The sequence below is a fragment of the Homo sapiens genome, chromosome 19 (genome assembly GCF_000001405.40).
Source record: "Homo sapiens chromosome 19, GRCh38.p14 Primary Assembly".
NCBI lineage: Eukaryota > Metazoa > Chordata > Mammalia > Primates > Hominidae > Homo > Homo sapiens.
The window spans coordinates 46,663,989-46,690,442 of record NC_000019.10 but is presented as its reverse complement, the minus strand read 5'-3'; the positions used below and the strand labels follow the sequence as shown (position 1 = coordinate 46,690,442).

At 49.6% G+C, this 26,454-nt stretch overlaps 1 protein-coding gene, 1 long non-coding RNA gene and 1 pseudogene across 9 annotated transcripts in view; 2 read left to right on the top strand and 1 right to left on the bottom strand.

Annotated features, from left to right (window-relative positions):
* The window catches only part of PRKD2 (protein kinase D2), a 42,799-nt gene extending 26,672 nt beyond the window's left edge, over positions 1-16,127 (top strand). For all 7 annotated transcript variants that reach the window (NM_001079881.2, NM_001079880.2, XM_005258716.3 and 4 more), the window contains 5 exons: positions 745-906; positions 8,695-8,793; positions 11,780-12,047; positions 15,325-15,410; positions 15,708-16,127. In NM_001079881.2, the coding sequence (NP_001073350.1) occupies positions 745-906; positions 8,695-8,793; positions 11,780-12,047; positions 15,325-15,410; positions 15,708-15,920 (828 nt within the window). In that variant the 3' untranslated portion in view covers positions 15,921-16,127. The remainder of the gene's footprint in view (positions 1-744; positions 907-8,694; positions 8,794-11,779; positions 12,048-15,324; positions 15,411-15,707) is intronic.
* Positions 1,375-1,646, top strand: RN7SL364P (RNA, 7SL, cytoplasmic 364, pseudogene; annotated as a pseudogene).
* DACT3-AS1 (DACT3 antisense RNA 1) overlaps positions 12,987-26,454 on the bottom strand; it is a 17,093-nt gene continuing 3,625 nt past the window's right edge. Inside the window, exons 2-3 of one of the 2 annotated variants that reach the window (NR_040042.1) lie at positions 21,133-21,275; positions 12,987-13,303 (exon numbers count right to left, since the gene is read on the bottom strand). This is a non-coding gene — a long non-coding RNA (DACT3 antisense RNA 1). Of the gene's footprint in view, positions 13,304-19,101; positions 19,303-21,132; positions 21,276-26,454 lie in introns of those variants that run through there. The other variant, NR_040041.1, reaches the window with a different exon arrangement.

The window sequence follows — 26,454 nt, the reverse complement described above, 5'->3', positions numbered from 1 at the left end:
ACCTGGTGAGAGGGAGCATGAGGTTTTCTAGAAAGGAGGTACTGGGAGATGAGGCCAGGGAGGAGGGCGGAGCCAGACCCTTTGGACTTTCTCCTGAGGGTACTGGAGAGCCACAGAAGGCTTTTGAGCAAGGGAGGGGCAGGATCAGGTGTGTACGTTAGGAAAATCCCGCAGGCTGCCATCTGGAGGGTGGGTGGAAAGGGAAGTGATTGTAGCCAGGAGGCTGAGTGGGGATCTGGGTGGGAGAGAGGGGTTAGGCCAGGATAGGACTGGAGAATGTGAGAGGGGGTATGGATTTAAAAGATACAGATGTGCAGAGCTCTCCCCATTTCTCCAAGCTCCCCCTCCTCCCTCCTGCAACCCTGGGCCTCCACCAGAATTTCAGGATGTAAAGATCCTTCTGGGCCGGGCATGGTGGCTCACGCCTGTAATCCCAGCACTTTGGGAGGCTGAGGTGGGAGGATCACTTGAGGCCAGAAGTTTGAGACCAGCCTGGCCAACATGGCGAAACCCCATCTCTATATTTAAATAGAAAGAAAAAAAAGATCCTTCTGGGCACCTGGCAGGTGGGGTGGAGGTGGGCCTGTTCTGTCTTGGCCTGTGGGAAGCCCCCTTCCCTCTCCAAGTGCCAATACCCCAGGGACATCCTTCTCCTTGTTTGTCATCCTCCTGCTCCTATACCTGACCCGTTGGGGTCTGAGTTTGTGGGTTACCTGGGCCCTGACCCCGCTCCCCACCCTGCAGAGCCTGCGGCATCCCGGGATCGTGAACCTGGAGTGCATGTTCGAGACGCCTGAGAAAGTGTTTGTGGTGATGGAGAAGCTGCATGGGGACATGTTGGAGATGATCCTGTCCAGTGAGAAGGGCCGGCTGCCTGAGCGCCTCACCAAGTTCCTCATCACCCAGGTGCGTCTGCCCTGCCCGCTGCCACCCGCCCCTCCCCATCAGGTGTCAGCTTGGAGAGGCCCTGTATGCCTAGGGGGTCAAGCAGACACTTGGGGGAGTCACAATAGCAGATAACAGAAACCATCATCAGGCTGGGCGCAGTGGCTCACACCCGTAATCCCAGCACTTTGGGAGGCCCACGAGGTCAGGAGATCGAAACCATCCTGGCTAACATGGTGAAACCCTGTCTCTACTAGAAATACAAAAAATTAGCCGGGCATGGTGGCAGGCGCCTGTAGTCCCAGCTACTCGGGAGGCTGAGGCAGGAGAATGGTGTGAACCTGGGAGATGGAGCTTGCAGTGAGCCGAGATCGCGCCACTGCACTCCAGCCTGGGCGACAGAGCAAGACTCCATCTCAAGAAAAAAAAAAAAAAAAAAAAGGAACCATAATCGTACAGAAGTAATAATAACCATAATAGAAAAAATAAGCCGGGCATGGTAGCACGTGTCTGTGGTCTCAGCTACTCAGGAGGCTGAGGCAGGAGGATCACTTGATCCCAGGAGTTCTGTGCTGATCAGGTGTCCTCATTAAGTTTGGCATCCATGTGGTGACCTCCCAGGAGTGGGGGACCACCAGGTTGCAAAGCAGCCCAGGTTGGAAATGGAGCAGGTCAAAGCTCTCTTACTGATCAGTAGTGGGATCACATCTGTGAAGAGGCATTGCACTCCAGCCTGGGCAACATAGCGAGACCCCGCCTCTAAAAAGAAAGAAAGAAAAAAGAAAAATAATAGTGACAATAACAATTAAAAATAAAGAGTATGCCAGGCGCGGTGGCTCACGCCTGTAATCCCAACACTTTGGGAGGCCAAGGCGGGTGGATCACCTGAGGTCAGGAGTTTGAGACCAGCCTGGCCAACATGGTGAAACCCTGTCTCTACTAAAAATACAAAAATTAGCTGAGCATGGTGGCAGGCACCTGTAATCATAGCTACTTGGGAGGCTGAGGCAGGAGAATCCCTTGAGCCCAGGAGGCAGAGGTTACAGTGAGCTGAGATCGTGCCATTGTACTCCAGCCTGGGGGACAAGAGTGAAACTTCGTCTCAAAAAAAAAAATAATAATAATAATAATAATAAAGAGTAATCATAATAATAGAAAAAAATAGACTAGCGGTAATGATAGCTATTTTTATTATAAAAAATAAATGATCAGTCAGGCTCCCTGGACCTGACTTGACTCATCTAGAAAAAAGGGGAGTCAGGCATGGTGGGGTACACCTGTAATCCCAGCTACTCAGGAAGCTAAGGCCAGAGGATTGCTTAAGCCCAGGAGTTTGAGCCAGCCTGGGCAACATAGCAAGAGCCCATCTCAAAAACAGGCTGGCTCATGCCCGTAATCCCAGCGCTTTGGGAGGCCAAGGCAAGAGGATCGCTTGAAGCCAGGAGTTGGAGACCAGCCTAGGCGACATAGTGAGATCCCACCTCTACAAAAAGTAAAAAAAAAAATAGAAAACCTAGCTGGATGTGGTGCCTGGTAGCACATGTCTGTAGTCCTAGCTGCTTGGGAGGAAGGGAGTGGAGAGGCTCTCTTGAACCTAGGTGGTTGAGGCTGCAGTGAGCTATGACCGTGCCACTGCACTCCAGCCTGGGTGACAGAGCGAGACCGTGTCTCAAAACCAAACAATAGAAAAAACGGGCAAGCAGCCCTTTTTCTCTCATTCATTCATTCAGTTGGTCAACAAACACTCCCTAGTCCCTGCTCTGTGCTTGGTCCCTTGCTGGTCAGTGTTGAGGACACAGGGATGACCAATACAGCCCCATTCTTAGACAGTGATAGCTCAGGTGAGCAGGGCTAGGACAAGGGAGGCTGATAATGGTGATGATAAATAATGTGGTCACTAACATTTATTGAGCACTTACTATGTGCCAAGCACTCTTCAAACTCATTTAATCTTCATAGTAACCTGTGCAGTAGGTGCTATTATTATCAATCCCCTTTTATGGTTGAAGAAACTGAGGGTCAGAGACATCAAATATCTTGTCCAGGGTCACATAGCTGGTGGGATTTGAACCTAGGATCTTTGCTTTTAACTAGTGATGTCAAACTCATTTGTGTTACATTCAAACAGATTTTCCTTGTGTGCCTGTGCTTTTTGTTTGTTTTTTTGAGACAGGGTCTCGCTCTGTCACCCGAGCTGGAGTGCAGTGGTACAATCATGGCTCACTGCAGCCTTGACCTCCCGGGTTCAAGCAATTCTCCTGCCTCAGCCTCCTGAGTAGCTGAGACAACAGGCATCAGCCATCACACCCAGCTAATTTTTATAAAGACATTTTTATAAAGACTTGCTATGTTGCCCAGGCTGGTCTTCAACTCCTGGGCTCAAGTGATCCTCCTGACTCGGCCTCAGCCTCGCAAAGTTCTGGGATTACAGGTGTGAGCCACTGTGCCCGGCCTCTGTTCTGCGTTTCTTTTTTTTTGGTGGAGGTGCACATTAGATTCTTATCACTTATATTGTTCAATGGTTTTATCCCAGTGTTTGCCTCTTTATTTTATATTTAGTTTTTATTTACCATAGGGTTTTATTTATTTTATTTTTTATTTTTTTTTGAGACGGAGTCTTGCTCTATTGCCCAGGCTGGAGTGCAGTGGCACCATCTCGGCTCACTGCAAGCTCCGCCTCCCAGGTTCACACCATTCTCCTACCTCAGCCTCCCAAGTAGCTGGGACTACAGGTGCCCACCACCACGCCCGGCTAATTTTTTGTATTTTCAGTAGAGACAGGGTCTCACTGTGTTAACCAGGATGGTCTCGATCTCCTGACCTCGTGATCCACCCGCCTCGGCCTCCCAAAGTGCTGGGATTACAGGTGTGAGCCACCGCGCCTGGCCTATTTTATTTTTTTTTTTGAGACAGGGTCTCATTTTGTCACCCAGGCTGGAGTGCAGTGGTGTAATCATAGTTCACTGCAGCCTCAAACTCCTAGGCTGAAGCAATTCTCCTATCTCAGCCTCCTGAGTTAACTGGAACCACAGGCATGAGCCACCACGTCCAGCTAATTTTTTTTTTTTTTTTTTTTAATGTTTTTGTAGAGACAAGGTCTCGCCATGTTGCCCAGGCTGGTCTTGAACTCCTGGGCTCGAGCGATCCTCCCATCTCAGTCTCCTGAGTTAGCTGGAACCACAGGCATGAGCCATTACACCTGGCTAATTTTTTTTTATGTTTTTGTAGAGACAGGGTCTTGCCATGTTGGGTCTCGAACTCCTGGGCTTAAGTGGTCCTCTTGCTGCAGCCTCCCAAAGTTCTGGGTTACAGGCATGAGCCACTGCGTCCAGCCGGCCATAGAGTGGAACTTTTACGATGTTAAATATCCCCTTGTGTGGTTTCTGTGTTTCACATCCTTCCTAGAAAGGCTTCCTTCTGGTGGGTGCCTTGCCTTCTTCTGAGACATCTCTGTGGGTCTCAGAGCCATCGTTGCTGTGTTCCCTTTACCCTGGCCCAGCACCCTTATCCTCTCAGGCAGTGTGCCTGTGTTTGTCAGGCTGGCTTATGGGGTGGGGACAGAAACCCACTGATGCACCCTCATCCAGACTTTATTATTTATGTATTTTTGAGACAGAGTCTCGCTTTGTTGCCCAGGCTGGAGCGCAGTGACACGATCTCGGCTCACTGCACCCTCTGCCCCCTGGGTTCAGGTGATTCTCCTACCTCAGCCTCCCGAGTAGCTGGGATTATAGGTGTGTGCCACCATGCCTGGCTAATTTTTGTAATTTTAGTAGAGATGGGGTTTCATCATGTTGCCCAGGCCAGTCTCAAACTCCTGACCTCAAGTCATCTGCCTGCCTCAGCCTCCTGAAGTGCTGGGATTACAGGCATGAGCCATCGTGCCCGGCCACATCCAGACTTCAGGTGTGGAAAGGAATCATGGTTCTCACAGGTGGCTGCTTTCAGCAGCTGAGGGGGTTTCTCTTTCTGGCCTTCATCTCTTCCTCTCTTTTTGCCTGCTCGCTCTTCTTTCTCTCTCTCTCTCTCTCTGCAGATTTCTGCTTTCTGGGCTCTTGCCTGCCCCACACCTAAGCCCTGTGCTAAGCCCTTTACCTCCTGAGCTTATGTAGGCCTCACCACCATCCTAGGAGGTAGGTATTGTTATAAACCCCATTTTATAGATGAGGAAACTGAGGCTCAGGGAGATAGCAGTCTCCCTCGAGGTCACAGCCAAGTAGCTTTCCAGCCAAGATTTGAGTCTGGATCTATCTAGCTTCCAACCTGCCCTCTTTCTTTTCTTTTTTTTTTTTTTTTTTTGAGACGAAGTCTCACTCTGTCACCCAGGCTGGAGTGCAATAGTACAGTCTCAGCTCACTGCAACCTCTGCCTCCCAGGTTCAAACAATTGTCCCACCTCAGCCTCCTGAGTAGCTGGGACTACAGGTGCGTCCCAGTACACCGGGCTAATTTTTGTATTTTTAGTAGAGACGGGGTTTCACTATGTTGGCCAGGCTAGTCTTGAACTTCTGACCTCGTGATCCACCCGCCTCAGCCTCCCAAAATGCTGGGATTACAGGCGTGAGCCACCATATCCGGCCAATGTTTTTTTTTTTTGAGATGGAGTCTCGCTCTGTTGCCCAGGCTGGAGTGCAGTGGCGCTATCTCAGCTCACTGCAACCTCTGCCTCCCAGGTTCAAATGATTCTCCTGCCTCAGCCTCCTGAGTAGCTGGGAACACAGGCACACGCCACCATTCCTGGCTGATTTTTGTATTTTTAGTAGAGATGGGGTTTCACCATGTCGATCAGGCTGGTCTTGAACTTTTGATCTCGTGATCTGCCCGCCTCAGCCTCCCAAAGTGCTGGGATTACAGGCGTAAGCCACCGTGCCCGGCCTAACCTGCCCTCTTTGTTCACATGAACTGGGAGAAAATCAACTGACAAAATCTGGAAATGGGCGGGGCGAGGTGGCTCACGCCTGTCATCCTAGAACTTTGGGAGGCCAAGGCAGATGGATCACCTGAGGTCAGGAGTTTTGAGACCAGCCTGGCCAACATGGTGAAATCCCATCTTTACTAATAATACAAAAATTAGCCAGGTGTGGTGGCATTCACCTGTAATCCCAGCTACTGGGGAGGCTGAGGCACAAGAATTGCTTGAACCTGGGAGGTGGAATTTGTGGTGAGTCGAGGTCATGCCGTTGCACTCCAGCGTGGGCAACAGAGTGAGACTCCATCTCAAAAAAACAATCTGGAGATGACATATACAACACATGCATCTTTCCAGCTTGGTCTCCCAGTCTGTAGAATGAGGAGGTTGGTCAGGCATGGTGGGTCGTGCCTATTATCTCAAGGTTTGGGTAGCTGAGGTGGGAAGATCATTTGAGGCCAGGAGTTTAAGACCAGCCTGGGCAACATAGCGAGATGCCATCTCTACAAAAAGATTTTTTTAAAAAAGAAAACAATCAGAATAAACACAAGTATTTAAACTCTGAGACAGATACACAAGTATTTAAACTCCGAGACAGATAATAATTGCAGTTGTACAATTGCTTCTGGTGTACTTGGCATTTTGAGTTACAGAGAATCAAGAAATATGATTCTCACAGATGAATGGTTACAAATGGTAATTTTTTTTTTAATCAGCTCACCTTATCATAGGAACAGATACAGCAGGAGAAGCTTTATTTAAGAGACACAAACAAATATATTTACCAACAAGCCATCACAAAAATAATAACTAATAACAACAACAGTAACAGCTAACATACAGTGGTTAGCTATCCTAAGCGTTTTACATGCATCTTTAGATATGCTTTAAACCTTATAGCAACCTGTAAGGTTGGTACTCTTTTTTTTTCTGAGATGGCATCTCACTCTGTCGCCCAGGCTGGAGTGCAATGGCGCGATGTCGACTCACTGCAACCTCCACCTCTCCAGTTCAAGCGATTTTCCTGCCTCAGCCTCCCGAGTAGCTGGGACTACAGGCGCCCACCACCACGCCTAATTTTTGTATTTTTAATAGAGGCAGGGTTTTGCTATGTTGGCCAGGATGGTGTCTAACTCCTGACCTCAGGTGATCCACCTGCCTCAGCCTTCCAAAGTGCTGAGATTACAGGCATGAGTCACCATGCCCAGCCAAAGTTTTTTGTAAGGATGAAAAATATTTTTTTTAAAAATGAAATCAGGCTGGGCACAGTGGCTCACGCCTATAATCCCAGCACTTTGGGAGGCCAAGGTTGGTGGATCACGAGGTCAGGAGTTCAAGACCAGCCTGACCAACATGATGAAACCCCGTCTCTACTAAAAATACAAAAATTAGCCGGGCATGGTGGTGTGTGCCTGTAATCCCAGCTGCTCAGGAGGCTGAGGCAGGAGAATCAGGAGGCCTTCTCAAAAAAAAAAAAAAAAAAGGAATCAAAGCCCGACATGGTGGTGGTGGCACATGCCTGTAGTCCTAGCTATTTGGGAGACTGAGGCTGGAGGATCACTTAACCCCAGGAGTTTGAGGCTGTAGAATGATACTGCACTTCAGCCTGGGTGACAGAGGGAGACTCCATCTCTTCAAAAAAAAAATGGGTGAGGTGGGGTGGCTCACGCCTGTTATCCAAGCACTTTGGGAGGCTGAGGTGGGTGGATCACTTGAGTGCAGGAGTTTGAGACCAGCCTGGGCAACATGGTGAGACACTGTCTCTACAAATACAAAAATTAGTCAGGTGTGATGGTGTGTGCCTATAATCCCAGTTACTAGGGAGGTTGAGGTGGGAGGATGGATTTAGCCTGGGAGGTCGAGGTGCAGTGAGCTGTGATCCCGCCTCTGTGCTCTGGCCTGAGTGACAGAGCAAGACTCTGTCTCAAAAAAAAAAAAAAAAAAAAAATAGAATCACATAGTTGGATCTTGGAAATGCCTGCTCTGTCAGTAGCATTCAGGAGTTTACCACATGCTAGAAGATCTTGGGATCTTCACAGCCCCACTCATCTAGCCCAGACTTTCTAGTTTACATTTAACTCTTATCTCTCAGATGTAAATGGTTCTATGATTCTGAGATTCTTTGGTGCTCCAGTGCCTCCTGTTTCCCTGGCTGGGGTGTCTGCAGGGGTGTGTAGGAAGGCATGGATGGGGCCAGGCGCAGTGGCTCACTCACGCCTGTAATCCCAGCATTTTGGGAGGCCAAGGTGGGTGGATCACTTGAGTCCAGGAGTTTGAGACCAGCCTGGTCAACATGGTGAAACCCTGTCTCTACTAAAAATAAAAGAAAAAATTATCAGAGCAAGTCTGGGCCCGGTGGCTCACGCCTGTAATCCCAGCACTTTGGGAGGCCGAGGTGGGGAAATCACGAGGTCAGGAGTTTGAGACCAGCCTGGCCAACATGGTGAAACCCCATCTCTACTAAAAATAGAAAAAATTAGCTGGGCATAGTGGCCAGCGCCTGTAATCCCAGCTACTCGGGAGGCTGAGGCAGGAGACTCACTTGAGCCCTGGAGGTAGAGGTTGCAGTGAGCCGAGATCGTGCCACTGCACTCCAGCCCAGGCGACAGAGTGAGACTCCGCCTCAAAAAGAAAAAAAAAAATTAGCTGGGCATGGTGGTGCACGCCTGTAGTCCCAGCTACTTGGGAGGCTGAGGCAGGAGAATCACTTGAACCCAGGAGGTAGGGGTTGCAGTGAGCTGAGATCATGCCACTGCACTTCCAGCCTGGGCTACAGAGCGAGACTCTGTCTCAAAAAAAAAAAAAAAAAAGTATGGATGGGTTTGGAGGGCTGGCTGCTGAGGTTGGGATTTGGCTGAGTACCTATCTACCTTTCTTACTGGGCCCATCTGCTCCCCTCAGATCCTGGTGGCTTTGAGACACCTTCACTTCAAGAACATTGTCCACTGTGACTTGAAACCAGAAAACGTGTTGCTGGCATCAGCAGACCCATTTCCTCAGGTCAGTTATGTCCCCTCCTGATTTGGGGAAATCCAGGCAACACTGATGGCCGGGGTGGGGGTGGGGAAGGGGATTATACTAATCAAGATGTGGGGGCGAGGCACAGTGGCTCTTGCCTGTAATCAGCATTTTGAGAGGCTGAGGCAGGAGGATCATTTGAGCCCAAGAGTTTGAGACCAGCCTGGGCAACATAGCGAGACCTCATCTATACAAAAAATGAAAAAAAAAATAGCCGGGAATGGTGGCGTGCGCCTATAGTCCTAGCTGCTTAGGAGGCTGAGATGGGAGGATTGCTTGAGCCCAGGAGTTGGTGGCTGCAGTGAGCTATGATTGTGCCACTGCACTCCAGCCTGAATAACAGAGTGAGAGCTGTCTCTTAAAAAAAAAAAAAAAAGACTGGGTGCGGTGGCTCACGCCTGTAATCCCAGCACTTTGGGAGGCCGAGGCGGGCAGTTCACGAGGTCAGGAGATCGAGACCATCCTGGCTAACACGGTGAAACCCCTTCTCTACTAAAAATACAAAAAAAAATTAGCGGGGCGTGGTGGTGTGCGCCTGTAGTCCCAGCTACTTGGGAGGCTGAGTTAGGAGAATGGCATGAACCCGGGAGGCGGAGCTTGCAGTTAGCCGAGATCACGCCACTGCACTCCAGCCTGGGTGACAGAGCGAGAGAGCGAGACTCTGTCTCAAAAAAAAAAAAAAAAATATATATATATATATATATATAGTTTATCCCAACATATAGCACTTTATTCAACATGTAGTCAACATAAAAATTATTAAGGCCAGGGGAGGTGGCTCATGCCTATAATCCCCGCACTTTGGGAGGCCAAGATGGGAAGACGGCTTGAGACCAGGAGTTCAAGTCTGAAGTGAGCTATGATTGTGCCACTGCACTCCAGCTGGGGTGACAGAGCAAGACCCTGTCTCTTAAAAAAGAAACAAAACTCAATGAAACATTCTGCTTGTTTTTCATACTATGTCTTCAAAATCTGGTGTGTATAACAGTTGGGGAAATAGATTGACATGCCCAAGTTGTTCCAAACATATTTAAAAGTTTTCTGGTTGAGCGCAGCGGCTCATGCCTATAATCCCAGCACTTTGGGAGGCTGAGGCGGGCAGATCACTTGAGGTCTGGAGTTGGATACCAGTCTGGCTAACATGGCGAAACCCCGTCTCTACTAAAAATACAAAAATTAGCTGGGCATGGTGGCGGGAACCTGTAATCCCAGGTTCTCAGGAGGCTGAAGCAGGAGAATTGCTTGAACCCAGGAGGGTGGAGGTTGCGGTGAGCCGAGATCACACCACTGCACTCCAGCCTGGACGACAGACCAAGACTCGTCTCAAAAAAATAATAATAAAATAAAAATTTTAAAAAAGATCCATAGGAAAGTATAGATCTTGGAAAAGAGAAAGAGCTATAAGATCTGTAGAAAGGGCAGAGTACCTCAGGAAAGGGTGGCTGTCACATTGAGATTCAGGTCAGGGGTTGAGGCGTGGCTGGTTTCAAAGGTGACAGAGGCTTCAGGCTTCAAGGATTTGGGGCTCTATCCTGCAAGCAACAGTGAGCCAAGGAAGGGTTTTGAACAGGGAAAGGACAGTACATGAACAGAGCTGGGAACCAAGGCTGAGAGGTAGGCAGCAGAGCAAGACCTTGAACCCAGGTCTTGCTGGCTCCAAAGCCTGTCCATGACCTTAGACTGCAGCCATTAACAATGAGGGTATGGGGCCAGGTGTGGTGTCTCATGCCTGTAATCCCAGCACTTTGGGAGGCTGAGGCAGGAGGAACACCTGAGGTCAGGAGTTTGGGACCAGCCTGGCTGATGTGGTGAAATGTCGTCTCTACTAAAAATACAAAAATTAGCCAGGCATGGTGGCGGGTCCCTGTGATCCCAGCTATTCGGGAGGCTGAGGCAGGAGAATTGCTTGAACCTGGGAGGCAGAGGTTGCAGTGAGCCAAGATCACGCTACTGCACTCCAGCCTGGGCGACAGAGCGAGACTCCGTCTCAAAAAAAATAAAACAATGAAGGAAAGGTAGGCATACACCATACTGTCTGCCAGCTACCGCAGTCAGCACCCACTCCTACCTAATCCCCAGGAAAGCCTGAGAGGAGGCTGCTATCAACAACCCCCCAATACAGATGACAAAATCAAGGCCTGGAGAAATTAGGTCCTTGACCTGAGATCATCGAGGGTCATTCTGTGCTAGACACTGCTCCTAACACGTTGCATACATTTCTCTTTCAGTCTAAACAAGCACCCTTTAAGGTAGGGACTGTTAAGATCTCCATTATGTTTCATGTTTTTTTTGTTTGTTTTTTGAGACGGAGTCTCGCTGTGTCACCCAGGCTGGAATGCAGTGGTGCGATCTCGGCTCACTGCAACCTCTGCCTCCCAGGTTCAGGCGATTCTCCTGCCTCAGCCTCCTGAGTAGCTGGGACCGCAGGCGTGTGCTAATTTTTGTATTTTTAGTAGAGATGGGGTTTCATCGTGTTGGCCAGGCTGGTCTCGAACTCCTGACCTCAAATGATCCATCTTCCTTGGCCTCCCAAAGTGCTGAGATTGCAGGCATGAGCCACCACGCCCCAATCATGTATATTTTGAGGCTATTAAAAAAAATCTGCATTATTCAAAAGAGGAAACAGCGACCCATTGGAGGTGGCAGAGGTATAGCAGCAGCTAGCATTTATTGTGCACCAACTGAATGCCAAATATTGTCCTGTGGGCTTTGGATGGTTTAATTCACTAACCATCATGGCAGTCCTCTGAGATAGGTGCTCTTCTGCTCTTCTTCCTATAGATGGGGAAACTGAGGCACAGAGGGGGGAAGTCACCTGCCCAGGGTTGCTCAGCTAGTGAGCCAAGGAGCCTGGATTCAAACCAGCATCCAGCTTTCTCTGGAATACCATGGAGGGTGGTGTGGTGGGGATGCTGGGGTGGGTGCGGCTCCATCACCTGGTGGAGCCTCCATCCCTTGCCCTCTGCAGGTGAAGCTGTGTGACTTTGGCTTTGCTCGCATCATCGGCGAGAAGTCGTTCCGCCGCTCAGTGGTGGGCACGCCGGCCTACCTGGCACCCGAGGTGCTGCTCAACCAGGGCTACAACCGCTCGCTGGACATGTGGTCAGTGGGCGTGATCATGTACGTCAGCCTCAGCGGCACCTTCCCTTTCAACGAGGATGAGGACATCAATGACCAGATCCAGAACGCCGCCTTCATGTACCCGGCCAGCCCCTGGAGCCACATCTCAGCTGGAGGTGCCTGGGGCCCGCCTACCCCATGGGCGGGTGGGTTGTGGGGTGGGGCTGGAGAAGTGGGCGGAGCCATGAGAGGGGGGTGGACCCGGAAACAGCCTGGCACCTTGGGGGTGGAGCCCAGTGCTGGGGCGGGCCTACTGGAGGGATGTGGCTACAGGAGGAGCCGTCCTGTAAAAGATGGGCTGGGACTCAGGCCTAGACTAGGTTACTTGGGCTGGAAACCAAGTGCCCCAGAAGCGCTGAGGACACTTGGAACCTTAGGGGGGCTGAGTGAGACTTGGCTTGTCTAGGGTGGGACCAGGAAAGGGACTGGACTTGAGGGTACCAAAGGGCTGCGGTGACCAGGAGAAGGGGCTGAGCCTCCCAAGGCATTGGCTGGGACCTGGAGCCTTTGGGTTTACGACCCCAAAAGGGTCAGCCTTGCAAAAAGGAGGCACCGGTGGGTAGGGTTGAGAAACAAGGGCATGGCTACTTTGCTGTGTACTGGGGCCGTGACTTGGGTGAAGATGGGCCTGAAGCCTGGGGTCGGTTCAGTGACCAAGGGAGCCAGTCTAGGGACGTGGCCGTGGAGGGTTTCCGAAGAGGTCCAGGAACAGGGCTGACCCTGAGTCCTGGAAGCTGGGAGTGGATGGGAGTGGGGAGGAGAAGGGAGCCAGGACTGAGGCAGACATTGCACTCTGCATTCTGGGGCTTTGGTGTTGTGGCTGGGCCTGATGAAGTGGCACCGGGCCTGGTGACTTGAACCTACTTGGGAATGGGTCTGTAACTTTCCCTGCTTGGAAAAGTTAAGTCCTAAGGCCTGGAGCTTTGAGGCTGGGTGTGGGATGGCATGTTTAGAGGGCCAGAGGCAGGGCTAAGATACTGGGGTGTGTCAGAAGCCAGGAGAACAAGGGACCTGTGTTGGAGCCAGGGAGCTCAGGAAGACAGATGGAGTATGGGAAGGGGGGGGATCATTCATTCATTTATTTATAACCATTTATTCAACAAGTACATTCATGTATTTGTAACCATTGATTCAACATGTTGAGTGCCCACGATGTGCCAGGCATTGACTGTTCCAGCTCTGGGAATACTGTGATGACTTGGACAGAAGGGGTCAGGTGCAGGGTAGCTCATTGAGTGGTCCGCGAAGGGTGGAAAGGGGAAGGGTCCTCTCTGGAGGGTGCGGCTTCATGGAGCAGGTGGAGCAGGGTGACACGGAGGTTGCTCGGTGCAGGACAAGACAAGGTCTTGGTGGTGGTCTAAGAGCATGGGCCCTAAGCAGTGAGAATGTGGATTGACTTGAGTCCTGGAGTAATATTGGGGGTGCTCAACACTGGCTTTTTTTTTTTTTTTGAGGTGGGGTCTCGCTCTTTCACCCACGCTGGAGTGCAGTGGCGTGATCTCGGCTCACTGCAACCTCCACCTCTTGGGTTCAAGGGATTCTCCTGCCTCAGCCTCCCGAGTAACTGGGATTACAGGCACACAGCACCATGCCTGGCTCATGTTTTATATTTTTAGTAGAGACAGGGTTTCGCCATGTTAGCCAGGCTGGTCTTGAACTCCTGACCTCAAGTTATTTGCCCGCTTCAGCCTCCCAAAGTGCTGGGATTGCAGGCATAAGCCATCACACCCCGCCAGCATTGTCTTTTGAGACCCACTCAGAAGTCCCTCAGTAAAAGTGCATCGAGTGTGCACAAGTGAATTTAAGTGTGGTTGCACCTGTGTGAGGATCACAGAATCCTGTGGGTGTTGACGGGAGCAGGGTGCCTGTGTGCACCAGGCCTCTCCTCGGATGGGTTCATACAGTGAAGCCTTGTCCTTCATGGCTTCCCATCAAGGAGAGAGCCTCGGATGAGTGCTGGCTTGTCTTGAAGCTTGACATTCGCTAGTCCTCTTTTTCACAATGAACAGGCCTATCTCTGAGCCTTCTGCAGGCAATGGTGACTAACTACCATCTGATGACATTTTGTTTTGTTTTGTTTTGTTTTGAGACGGAGTTTCGCTTTTGTCACCCGGGCTGGAGTGCAGTGGCACGATCTTGGCTCACTGCAACCTCTGCCTCCTGAGTTCAAGCGATTCTGCCTCAGCCTCCTGAGTAGCTGGGACTACAGGCATGCGCTACCATGCCCAGCTAATTTTTTGTATTTTTAGTAGAGACGGGGTTTCCGTGTTGGCCAGGCTTGTCTCGAACTCCTGACCTCGGGTGATCCACCCGCCTCGGCCTCCCAAAGTGTTGGGATTACAGGCATGAGCCACCGCGCCCAGCCTGATGACATAGATGCTCCCTGATTTGCACTGGGGTTAGATAAACCTGATAAACCCATTGCCCATTGTAAATTGAAAATATCATAAGTTGGTCAGGCGCAGTGGCTGAAGCCCATAATCCCAGCACCTTGGGAGGCCAAGGTAGGCAGATTGCTTGAGCCCAGGAGTTCAAGACCAGCCTGGGCAATGTATCTCTACAAAAAATACAAAAATTAGCCGGCCATAGTGACAGGTGCTTGTAGTCCCAGCTGGCTGCTCAGGAGGCTAAGGCAGGAGAATCAATTAAGCTGGGGAGGTGGAGGCTTCAGTGAGCATTGATCACGCCACTGCACTTCAGCTTGGGTAACAATGAGACCCTGTCTCAAAAAAAAAAAAGGAAGTATTGTAGGTTGAAAATCCATTTAGGCCGGGCGCAGTGGCTCATGCCTGTAATCCCAACAATTTGGGAGGCCAAGGCAGGCGGATTGCTTGAGGTCAGGAGTTAGAGACCAGCCTGGCCAATATGGTGAAACCCCATCTCTACTAAAAATACAAAAAGTTAGCAGGACATGGTGACACACACCTGTATTCCTAGCTACTTGGGAGGCTGAGGCAGGAGAATCACATGAACCCGGGAGGCGGAGGTTGCAGTGAGCCAAGATCGTGCCATTGCACTCCAGCCTGGGCGACAGAGCGAGACTCTGTCTCAATAAATAAATAAGTAAAAATAAAAAGAATAGTACAGGTGTAATTGTATGTACCTGTATATGACAAAAAGAAAAAAAAAGGTGACATAGGGGAATGGGGAAATTGAAGTAGAGAACAGGTGAAGAGAGGGAGCTGGTGTGAACATGCATGGGCAGGAGGAGACAAATTTGTAATGTAATGAGGAAATGGGTGGGTGAGTGATTGGCACAGGTGAGGCTTCTGAGCCACCTGAGCTGGTGCAGAAGGAAGGTGTTGATGGCAGGCAGGTAGGCTAGGGGGTGCCTATTGGAGGAGGAGTGACCCTTGACCTGTAGGGCTTGACCTGTTTCTCTTTCCTGTGCAGCCATTGACCTCATCAACAACCTGCTGCAGGTGAAGATGCGCAAACGCTACAGCGTGGACAAATCTCTCAGCCACCCCTGGTTACAGGTGATGCAGGGGGCAGGGCTGGCCCATTGGCTGGATTGGAGGAAGGGGTGGGAGTAGATCGCTTATTGGCTAGGCAGGTTGTGAAGGATGTAGGTTTCCTTGGGTCTGGAATGTGGCTAGGCCTCCCATTGGCTGGGTGCAGGAAGAGGGGGTGGAGCTAAATGTCTACTGGCTGGGTGGGTTGCAGAGGGTATGGCTTCACCTTCATTGGTACCCAGCTCTCAGTGGCAAACCAGAGGATATCCAGGCACTGCTCCAATGCAGACCCCAAGCTAACCCCAGTTCTCTCGGGCCCAGGAGTACCAGACGTGGCTGGACCTCCGAGAGCTGGAGGGGAAGATGGGAGAGCGATACATCACGCATGAGAGTGACGACGCGCGCTGGGAGCAGTTTGCAGCAGAGCATCCGCTGCCTGGGTCTGGGCTGCCCACGGACAGGGATCTCGGTGGGGCCTGTCCACCACAGGACCACGACATGCAGGGGCTGGCGGAGCGCATCAGTGTTCTCTGAGGTCCTGTGCCCTCGTCCAGCTGCTGCCCTCCACAGCGGTTCTTCACAGGATCCCAGCAATGAACTGTTCTAGGGAAAGTGGCTTCCTGCCCAAACTGGATGGGACACGTGGGGAGTGGGGTGGGGGGAGCTATTTCCAAGGCCCCTCCCTGTTTCCCCAGCAATTAAAACGGACTCATCTCTGGCCCCATGGCCTTGATCTCAGCACACGGCACTCTCGAATCATTACTCTGTTGTACCAACATGGAGTTCATCTGGAAGGAGGACTGCCTGAAAAGAGGAAGGATGGAAGGGGTGGGGAGAGAGGACTGATGGGAGAGGAGTCTTGGAAGGAGGACGAGCTGGGGTAGAAAATATACAGGAAGAGTGCCAGGAGAGAAGATGAGAAGGGAGAGGGAGGAGTAATGGAGGAGGAGTTGGAAACTGGGGAGAGATGGAAGGAATGTGACTGGAGGGTAGAGAACTTGGAGAAAAAGTAATCTCATGGTTTGTGATGACTGATTTTTTATTTGGTGGTGGTGTTACTACTAATCACAACTATTAATTCAGGCTGGGTGTGGTGGCTCATGCCTATAATCCCAGCAATTTGGGAGGCCGAGGCAGGCAGATCCCTTAGATCTCAGGAGTTTGAGAGCAGCCTGGCCAACGTGGTGAAACTCCCTTTCTACAAAAAGTTCAAAAATTAGCCAAGTGTGGTGGCTTGCACCTGTGGTCCCAGCTACTTGGAGGTTGAGGCTAGAGGATCGCTTGAGCCCAGGAAGCAGAGATTGCAGTGAGCCAAGATCACACACCACTGCACTCTAGCCTGGGCAAGAGAGTGAGACCCTGTCTCAAAAGTCAAATAATAAAATGCAGTTAGCCCAAGTCTGATCCATACTAGAAAACTGATACGTAACATTCAGTATTTTATTTTATGTTGATGTGATGACTTCTCTATCTATGAAATAGAGAAGTATATATTCACTCATTCCTTTGTGTCACTGAGCTGGGTGATGCTGGGGACACAGTGGTGACTGAGACAGCCAAGGACTGCCCTGCCAGTAGAGAGACATACCTGCCCCTGGACAGTGATGACCCAGAACGGGAAGGGCTGGACTGGGGGAGTTTGGGAGGCTTGGGCAGCCTAGAATGAGCTCAGGGGTCAGAGAGAGTGGGGAATCAGAGGTGACCTCTTAGGCTTCATCTTGGCCTTGAAAGACTGAAGGCAGAGGGAATGAACTGGAGGGAACACGTATCCACCTCTCTCTACCTTTGACTCCAGCCCTCCACCTCCCCAGTTCTCCAGTAACACCCTAACACATGGTCCTCCACCTTCCACAGCTGAAGGTGAACGATCCGAGCATGGACCTGAACAAGTTTTCTTCAGACTTTCAGAACGCTCTGACTTACGTGCTGCAAAGACCTATCTGAAAGCTGGGCATGGTGGCGGGTGACTGTATTCCCAGCTACTTAAGCGGCTGAGGTGGGAGGATCGCTGGAGTCCAGGAGTTCGAGTCCAGTTTGGGCAACACAGCCTTAAAAAACCCAGGAAAACAGGAAAGAATTTAGTAGCCAATTTAGGCTAATACTGGGAGCTTACTCTGGGATTTTCCAATTTGATTTGTATCACCTTGTCCATCTGATGGTTCCAGAGCTGCAGCTTTTTTTTTTTTTCCTGAGGCAGGGTCTCTGTTTCCCAGGCTGGAGTGCAGTGGCATGAACACAGCTCACTGCAGCCTTGACCTTCTGGGCTCAAGTGATCCTCCCACCTCAGCCTCCTGAGTAGCTAGAACTACAGGCACATGCCACCATGCCCAGCTAATTTTTTGGATTTTTTGCAGAGGTTTTACCATGTTGCCCAGGCTGGTCTCAAACTCCTGGGCTCAAGCGATCTGCCTGCCTAGGCCTCCCAAAGTGCTGGGATTACATGCATGAGCCACTGCGCCTGGCCAAAATGCAGCTCTTTGATTTGAAAATGCTAAACGAGCCTCAGTAAATGAAGGTATCCAAAGGAGCAGTATACCTCTGAGGCATAGTTGCTAAGACTATTGGGGAAAGGCTCTTAGACTCCATCCCCAGTGCCTATCCCTCTGTTTAGTCTAAGGTCCAGAAGTGTAGGCAACATAGAGATGAATCCATCTCCCGTGACAGACCCAGGCTAGAAAATGTATGGAAAAGACTATCACCCCTGATCTGCTTCTGTCTTGGCCACTAGTTAATATCCAGAGACCAGAAATGAGAGACGTGATTCAAAAACATTCCTCAATTATAGAATTCCAGGAGATAGTGTATATCATGAGGATGCCATGAAAGATAAAATCAAGGCCGGGCGCAGTGGCTCACGCCTGTAATCTCAGCACTTTGAGTGCTGAGGTGGGTGGATCATCTGAGGTCAGGAGTTTGAGACCAGCCTGATCAACATGGAGAAACCCCGTCTCTACTAAAAATACAAAATTAGCCGGGCATGGTGGCACATGCCTGTAATCCCAGCTACTCGGGAGGTTGAGGCAGGAGAATCGCTTGAATCTGGGAGGCGGAGGTTGCGGTGAGCTGAGATCGTGCCACTGCACTCCAGCCTGGGCAACAAGAGCGAAACTCTGTCTCAAAAAAAAAAAAAAAAATCAAATCCATACAATGAAAACTTAGGGCCCTATAACTTAAATCATTAGAGACAAAAAGTTTATCCTATCAGGACCACTGGAATCACAAAACCTAATTTTGTTTGTTAGAGACAGGGTCTTGCTCTATCACCCAGGCTTCTGTGCAGTGGTATGATCGTAGCTCACTGCAGCCTCAAACTACAGGGTTCAAGCCATCCTCCCCCTCAGCCTCTTGAGTAGCTGGGACTACAGGCATGAGCCACCACACCTCGCTAATTTTTTGTTTTTTATGTAGTTTTTAATTTTTTTATTATTTTATTATTTTTTGAGATGGAATCTTGCTCTGTTGCCCAGGCCAAAGTGCAGTGGCATGATCACAGCTCACTGCAGCCTCAACCTCCTGGGCTCAAGTGATCTTCCCACCTCAGCCTCCCAAGTAGCTAAGACTACAGGCACATGCCACCACGCCCAGCTAATTTTTGTATTTTTAGTAGAGAAGGGGTTTTGCCATGTTGGCCAGGCTGGTCTCGAACTCCTGACCTCAAGTGATCTGCCCACCTCGGCCTCCCAAAGTGCTGGGATTACAGGCATGAACCACCGTGCCCGGGCATGTTTTTTATTTGTTATAGAGATGGGGTCTCACTATGTTGCCGAGGCTGGTCTTGAACTCCTGGGGTTGAACGATCCTCCACCTCTCAAAAGTGCTGGGATTACAGGTGTGGGCCACTGCACTCAACCTCAAAACCTAATGTTGATAGAGACACTTGTATATACTGTAAAGAAAAGGGACATTGGACTTGACACTATTTAGCTTTGAAATGCAAAAGGAATTTGAGTCTAAGATTCAGTCTCCCAGTGACTCACTTCCAGCCAACTTTCTCCTCTGTGTCTATAAGGATTCCTTAACCTTCAGGGGGAAATGACCATCAATCCCCTTAATGAGCATCCTGCCAGGGTTTTTGTAGACACAGGGGCCACATGCTTTGCCATAAATATCTCAGTCCCCCCTCCCTACCTCAGTACACAGCAATAATGGTGATGAGACCACAATTAGCCACATGGTTTATGCCTGTCTAAGCCACTCTTGGGCTCATTGGGCTCTCTACTACCCAGCACAGTTTCTTATTCAAATTACTCCAATAATCCCTTTAGAAAGGGATGTTCTATCAACGTAGAACAATAATATTTCTTTTTTGTTTGTTTGTTTTTGAGATGGAGTCTCGCTCTGTCACCCAGGCTGGAGTGCAGTGATGCGATCTCACCTCACTGCAACTTCTACCTCCCAGGTTCAAGCGATTCTCCTGCTTCATCCTCCCAAGCAACTGGGATCACAGGTGCACACCATCACAACCGGCTAATTTTTGTATTTTTAGTAGAGGCAGGGTTTCACCATGTTGGACAGGCTGGTCTCAAACTCCTGACCTCAAGTGATCCACCTGCCTTGGCCTCCCAAAGTGTTGGGATTACAGGTGTGAGCCACCGTGCCCAGCCAAAGCCATAATATTTCATATTCACAAGAGGGCTTATGTCTCCCAGTCCCTAATTCTGCCCTTGTTCATCTCAGTCCACTAACTTTCCCACCACTCCAACCACCCCCTTCCCAAAACATCCACCTCTCCCTCAGACCTACATATCCAAGATCTGTGACTTGCATTCCTGATTCTCTTTGAGCCCCCAACTCAACAAATGTAGGGTGCCTCTGGGAGGCTGAACCTCTTAAGGTAGAAGTAGATCCTTTCTTTTTAGAATTAAAAAAAATTTTGTTTAAATAGAGACAAGGTCTTGCTATGTCGCCCAGGCTGGTCTCAAAGTCCTGGCCTCAAGCAGTCCTCCCACCTCGGTCTCCCAAAGTGTTGAGATTACAGGTGTGAGCCACTGCACCTGGCTCCCTTTTTTTTTTTTTAACCAATTACCCCAAGTTGTGGAATAGAATTAGATCTTTTCATGCCCTTCTTGAAGCTGCCTTAATGTGCTCTGACACCAGAGGCACACTAGGGCCCCCAACCCATTATTCAGAGCCTCCTACTATCCACTTCCATCCCCTACAACACTCCTGTCTGCCAAGAATCCTAATGATAACACCTGTAATTTGGGAGGCCGAGGCGGGTAGATCACCTGAGATCAGGAGTTGTAGACCGGCCTGGCCAACATGGTGAAACCCCGTCTCTACTAAAAACAAATTAAAAAATTAGCCGGGCATGGCGGCAGGTACCTGTAATCCCAGCTACTCAGGAGGCTAAGGTAGAAGAATTGCTTGAACCCGAGAGGCAGAAGTTGCAGTGAGCCGAGATCGCGCCATTGCACTCCAGCCTGGGTGACAGAGTGAGACTCTGTCTCAAAAAAAAAAAAAACAAAATCCCAATAACAGTCTCGATAAAGGATACCAGCAAGTCCAAGACCTCAAGGCTGTAAACAAAATAGTCACACTGTGGTTCCTGCTATTTCCAATCCAAACATTATACTGGCCTCTATTCTAGACCGGCCAACACCACCCACTCGACTGTACTCACATGCCCTCTGCCTTCTTTCACACACCTGATGATCCACAGCCCCATTTCCCTTTCCCCTTGAAAGTCAACAGTAAACATACATACACTGCTATGCCTCAGTGGTTCGTTGAAACCCCTACTTACTTTTTTTTCCGATCCTGAATGCTAATTTGAGGGATTTGGTTTTCTCCTGTAATTCCATTCTAATCCCATACATAGATGATGTCCTGTCTGGTCAGTTCATTCCAGCAGCTCACTCACTCACACTCCACACGTGCCCCAAGTTTCTGCAATTATACAGGAAGTAGGAAAAACAAATAAAAATCGGCCCCAAGCCCTTGCTCATAAAGGACAGGCTCATGTCTGTAATCCCAGCACTTTGGGAGGCCAAGGTGGGAGGATCACTTGAGCCCAGGAGTTCGAGATTAGCCTGGGTAACATAGGGAGACCCCCATCTCTACAAAAATAAAAAATAAAAAAATTAGCTGAGTGTGGTGATGCATGCTTCTAGTCCCAGCTACTCAGGAGGCTGAGGTGGGAGGATTGCTTGAGCCTGACAGGTTGAGGCCGCAGTGAGCCGAGATTGCATCACAGCACTCCACCTGGGCAAAAGAGCAAGACCCTGTCTCAGAAAAAAAAAAGGGTGTCTAGGATAAATTATAACTATGTAATTCATAAGTACAAGATTTAGGGCATGACCTTGCCCTTGAAGGCAAAACCTTATCCACACAGCATGCATTTATACCATTATTATTTTTGTTTTATCCAAGACTAAAAGGCAACTCCAGTGGTTTCTGGGCTGGTCATTGGTTGAATTTTGTCTCCCTAGTACCTCAGGATATGACCCTACTTGGAAATAAGTTCATTGCAGATGTAATCAGTTAAAAGGAGGTCATACTGGAGTAGGGTGGGCCCCTAATGCAACATGACTGGTGTCTTTTTTTGTTGTTTTTTGAGATGGAGTTTCGCTCTTGTTGCCCAGGCTGGAGCGCAATGGCGCGATCTTGGCTCACCGCAAACCCTGCCTCCCGGGTTCAAGCGATTCTCCTGCCTCAGCCTCCCGAGTGGCTGGGTTACAGGCATGCACCACCATGCCCGGCTAATTTTGTATTTTTAGTAGAGACGGGGTTTTCTCCATGTTGGTCAGGCTGGTCTCAAACTCCCGACCTCAGGTGATCCGCTCGCCTCGGCCTCCTAAAGTGCTGGGATTACAGGTGTGAGCCACCGCGCCTGGCCGAGTGGTGTCTTTATGAGAAGGTGGCCGCGTAAGACACAGGGAGAAGCATGTGAGGATGAAGGCAGAGCTTGGAATGATGCAGCCACAAGCCAAATAATGTTAGAGATTGCCAAGAGCCACCAGAAGCTGGGAAGAGGCAAGGAAGGATTGCCTGGGGAATTGGAGCTCCCTAACATGCTTTTTTTTTTTTTTTTTTTTTTTTTGAGACAGGATCTTGCTCTCTCACTCAGGCTGGAGTGTAGTAGCACGATCATAGCTCACTGCAGCCTCAAACTCCCAGGCTCAAACAATCCTCTCGCTTCAGCCTCCCTACTAGCTGGAACTACAGGCATGCACCACTATACCTGGCTAAGTTTTTAAATTTTTTGGAGATAGGGTCTCACTATGTGGCCCAGGCTGGTTCCCAACTCCTGGCCTCAAGCGATCCTTGTGCCTTGGCCTCCCAAAGTGCTGGGATTTACAGGCATGAGCCACCAGGCCCGGACCCAGATTCTTTTTTTTTTTTTTTTGAGATGGAGTCTTGCTCTGTTGCCTAGGCTGGAGTGCAGTGGTGTGATCTCAGCTCACTGCAACCTCTGCCTCCTAGGTTCATGCTATTCTCCTGCCTCAGCATCCTGAGTAGCTGGGACTACAGGCACCCACCACCATGCCTGGCTAATTTTTTGTATTTTTAGTAGAGGCAGGGTTTCACCGTGTTAGCCAGGATGGTCTCGATCTCCTGACCTTGTGATCCACCCACCTGGGTCTCCCAAAGTGCTGGGATTACAGGCGTGAGCCACTGCGTCAGGCCCCCGGGCCCCAGATTCTTATTCTTTCTTGTCCTGACCTTGAAGAGCCTCCATGTGACAATCTCGTGTCACCCTCTTTGTGGATGGCCCTTCACCTTAAACACCCGGCAGGAAATTTCTAAGCAGTAGGCTCTCTTCTGACTTTCAACAAGCTCATAGTGTTTCCATGCCTCCCTGAACCCAAGTCAGCCCAAACAGCACACTCAGCGCCAGAGGGGGGATGAGGAAAAGGAAGATTTTAATTTTTTTTTGTAGAGACAAGGTTTCACTGTGTTGCCTAGGCTGGTCTTGAACTCTCGGGCTCAAACGATCCTCCCACCTCGGCTTCCCAAAGTGCTGGGATTACAGGCATGAGCCACTGTGCCTGACCCAGGAAAGATGTTGATCAAAGGTACAAAGTTTCAGCTAGACTGGAGGAATACATTTTAGCGGCCCATTGCACTGCACAGTGACCACAGTTAATAATTGAGACAGGGTCTTTTTCTCTCACCCAGGCTGGAGTGCAGTGGTGCAATCTCAGTTCACTGCAACCTCCGCCTCCTGGATTCAAGCGATTCTCCTGCTTCAGCCTCCTGAGTAGCTGGGATTACAGGTGCGTGCCACCATGCCCGGCTGATTTTTTGGATTTTAGTAGAGATGGGGTTTCACCATGTTGGCCAGGCTGGTCTTGAACTCCTGACCTCAAGTAATCTGCCCACCTTGGCCTCCCAAAGTGCTGGGATTACAGGTTTGAGCCACCGCGCCTGGCCGAGACTGGGTAATTTATAAAGGAAAGAGGTTTAATTGACTGACAGTTCCACATGGCTGGGGAGGCCTAAGGAAACTTACAGTCATGGCGGAAGGTGAAGAGGCCCATCTCGCATGGCAGTAGGCAAGACAGTGCGTGTGTGTAAATGCAGGAAAAACTACCATTTATAAAACCATCAGATCTCGTGAGAACTCCCTCACTGTCACAAGAACAGCCCCCATGAGCCAATCATTTCCCACCAGGTCTTTCCTTAAACACCTGAGGACTGCAGTTCAAAATGAGATTTGGGTGGGTCACAAAGCCTACCCATACCATATCAAGCAGGCTAATCCAGAGAACCAGTGGGTACTCCCATTTCACAGAAATCCTTTAGCCCTATTGCCTATGATCATCAGGACAAATTGAACATGCCGATTCAGTCTCGTCAAACTTAAACTTGCCAAACTAACTGAAGAATTGAACTTACCCTTGCCCACTGTTGTCCCTTGACTTCCCCATAACCACAAGCATTAGCTTATTTTCCTTTTTCTTTTCTTTTTCTTTCCTTTTTTTTTTTTTTTTTTTTTTTTTTGAGACAGAGTCTTGCTCTGTCGCCCAGGCTGGAGCACAGTGGTGCAATCATGGCTCACTGCAGCCTCAACCTCCTGGGCTCAAGTGATTCTTCCTCCCCAGCCTCCCCAGTAGCCAGGACTTCAGGCATGCACCACCACGCCCAGCTAATTAAAAAGTTTTTTGGGCCGGGTGCGGTGGCTCACACCTATAATTCCAGCACTTTGGGAGGCCAAGGCAGGCAGATCACTTGAGGTCAGAAGTTTGAGACCAGCGTGACCAACATGGTGAGATCCCGTCTCTACTAAAAATACAAAAATTAGCTGGGTGAGTTGGCTCATGCCTGTAATCCCAGCTACTCGGGAGGCTGAGGCAGGAGAATCACTGTAACCTGAGAGGCGGAGGTTGCAGTGAGCCGAGATCGTGCCACTGCACTCCAATCTGGGTGACAGAGCAAGATTCTGTCTTGAAAAAAAAAAAAAAAAAAGACAAGGAGAGAGGCACAGGGATGTGTGCACACATACTGGAAACCATGTGTGGACACAGTGAGAAGGTGACCATCTGCAAGCCAAGGAGAGAGGCCTCGGAGGAAACCAGCCCTGCCGACGCCTTGATCTTGGACTTCTTGGCCTCTAGAATGGTGAGAAAATAAATTTCTGTCGTTTAAACTATGTCTGTAGTGTTTCGTTATGGCCACCTTAGCAAATGAATACACTGCTAGAATAAATCACCATGAATGTGGTGGCTTAAAACAACACAGATTTATTTTATTTTATTTTTTGAGACAGGGTCTTTCCCTGTCGCCCCAGGCTGGAATGCACTGGCACAATCACAGCTCACTGCAGCATCAGACTGGTGGCCTCAAGCGATCCTCCTCCTAGATAACTGGGACCACAGATGTGCGCCATCATGCCTGGCTAATTTTTTGATTTTTTTTTTTTTTTTTTGTAGAAACGTGTTGCCCAGGCTGGTCTCAAAGTCCTGGCCTCAAGCGATCCTCCCCCACTCGGCCTCCCAAAGCTTTGGGATTACAGGTGTGAGCCACTGTGCCTGGCCCGGCCTCTGCTTCTATATTTACATATTTCTCTGACTCTAACGTTCTTGCCTCCATCTTATAAGGAAACTTGTGATGATACTGGGTCCACCAGGATAATCCAAGATAAATCTCCCTATCTCAAGATTCTTAATCACAAAAAGTTCCTTTTTCCATAAAAGGTGCTATATTCACAGGTTCCAGGGATAAAGATGTAGACATCTTAGGGGGGGGCCATTACTCTTCCTACCAGAGCACATATCAATAATCTTCTTATGAAATAATCACTCAAAGACTCACAAGGATTCTACTCCTATTGGGCCCTTGAGGACTCTAATCTATTACAATCGACATTCTCAGATATTATCAAGGACTAAGTACACTTATGCTTGTCACTAACAAGTGTGAGCTGCCTTCCCTCCAAATACTCCATCACGGCCTCTTCATAATTTCCAAACAGGGAATTTAGTCCTCCGGAAAAGACATCGCAGGAAGACTAACCTTGAACTCAGATGGGATGGACCCTACACTATTGCAAACACCAGACTGTCCTGCCTTGGGTTCATATCTCAGAGATGAAGAGATATAAGACCTGTGCTGAATGGGAATCCACTCCCGTTGGAGACCTCAGAGGGAGGCTCTTTCAAGAGCCCTGGAAGCAGACGAGGCTGCAATTGTAGACAGCTCTCCCAAGAACCTTGGGTTAAGCAGACAACATCATGAGACAGCCTGCTCCTGGAATCAGAAACTCCAGGATTCCCTCCCACACACGCTATTTTAGAGACAGGGTCTCACCATGTTGCCCAGGTTGGCCTTGAACTCCTGAGCTCACACAATCCTCCTGCTTCTGTCTTCTGGGTAGCTGGTACTACAGGTGCATGTCACAGAGCCTGGCTAGGATTCCCCATTTTAATACCCACTCTGGTCCTCCCGTGCCTGCTTCTCATCATATGACTTTTGCCTTTCATTTGCATTCTCTCTCTCTTTATTTATTTATTTATTTAGAGACAGAGCCTCCCTCTGTTGCCCAGGTTGGAGTGCAGTGGCGTGATCTCGGCTCAGTGCAACCTCCACCTCCCAGGTTCAAACGATTCTCCTGCCTCAGCCTCCC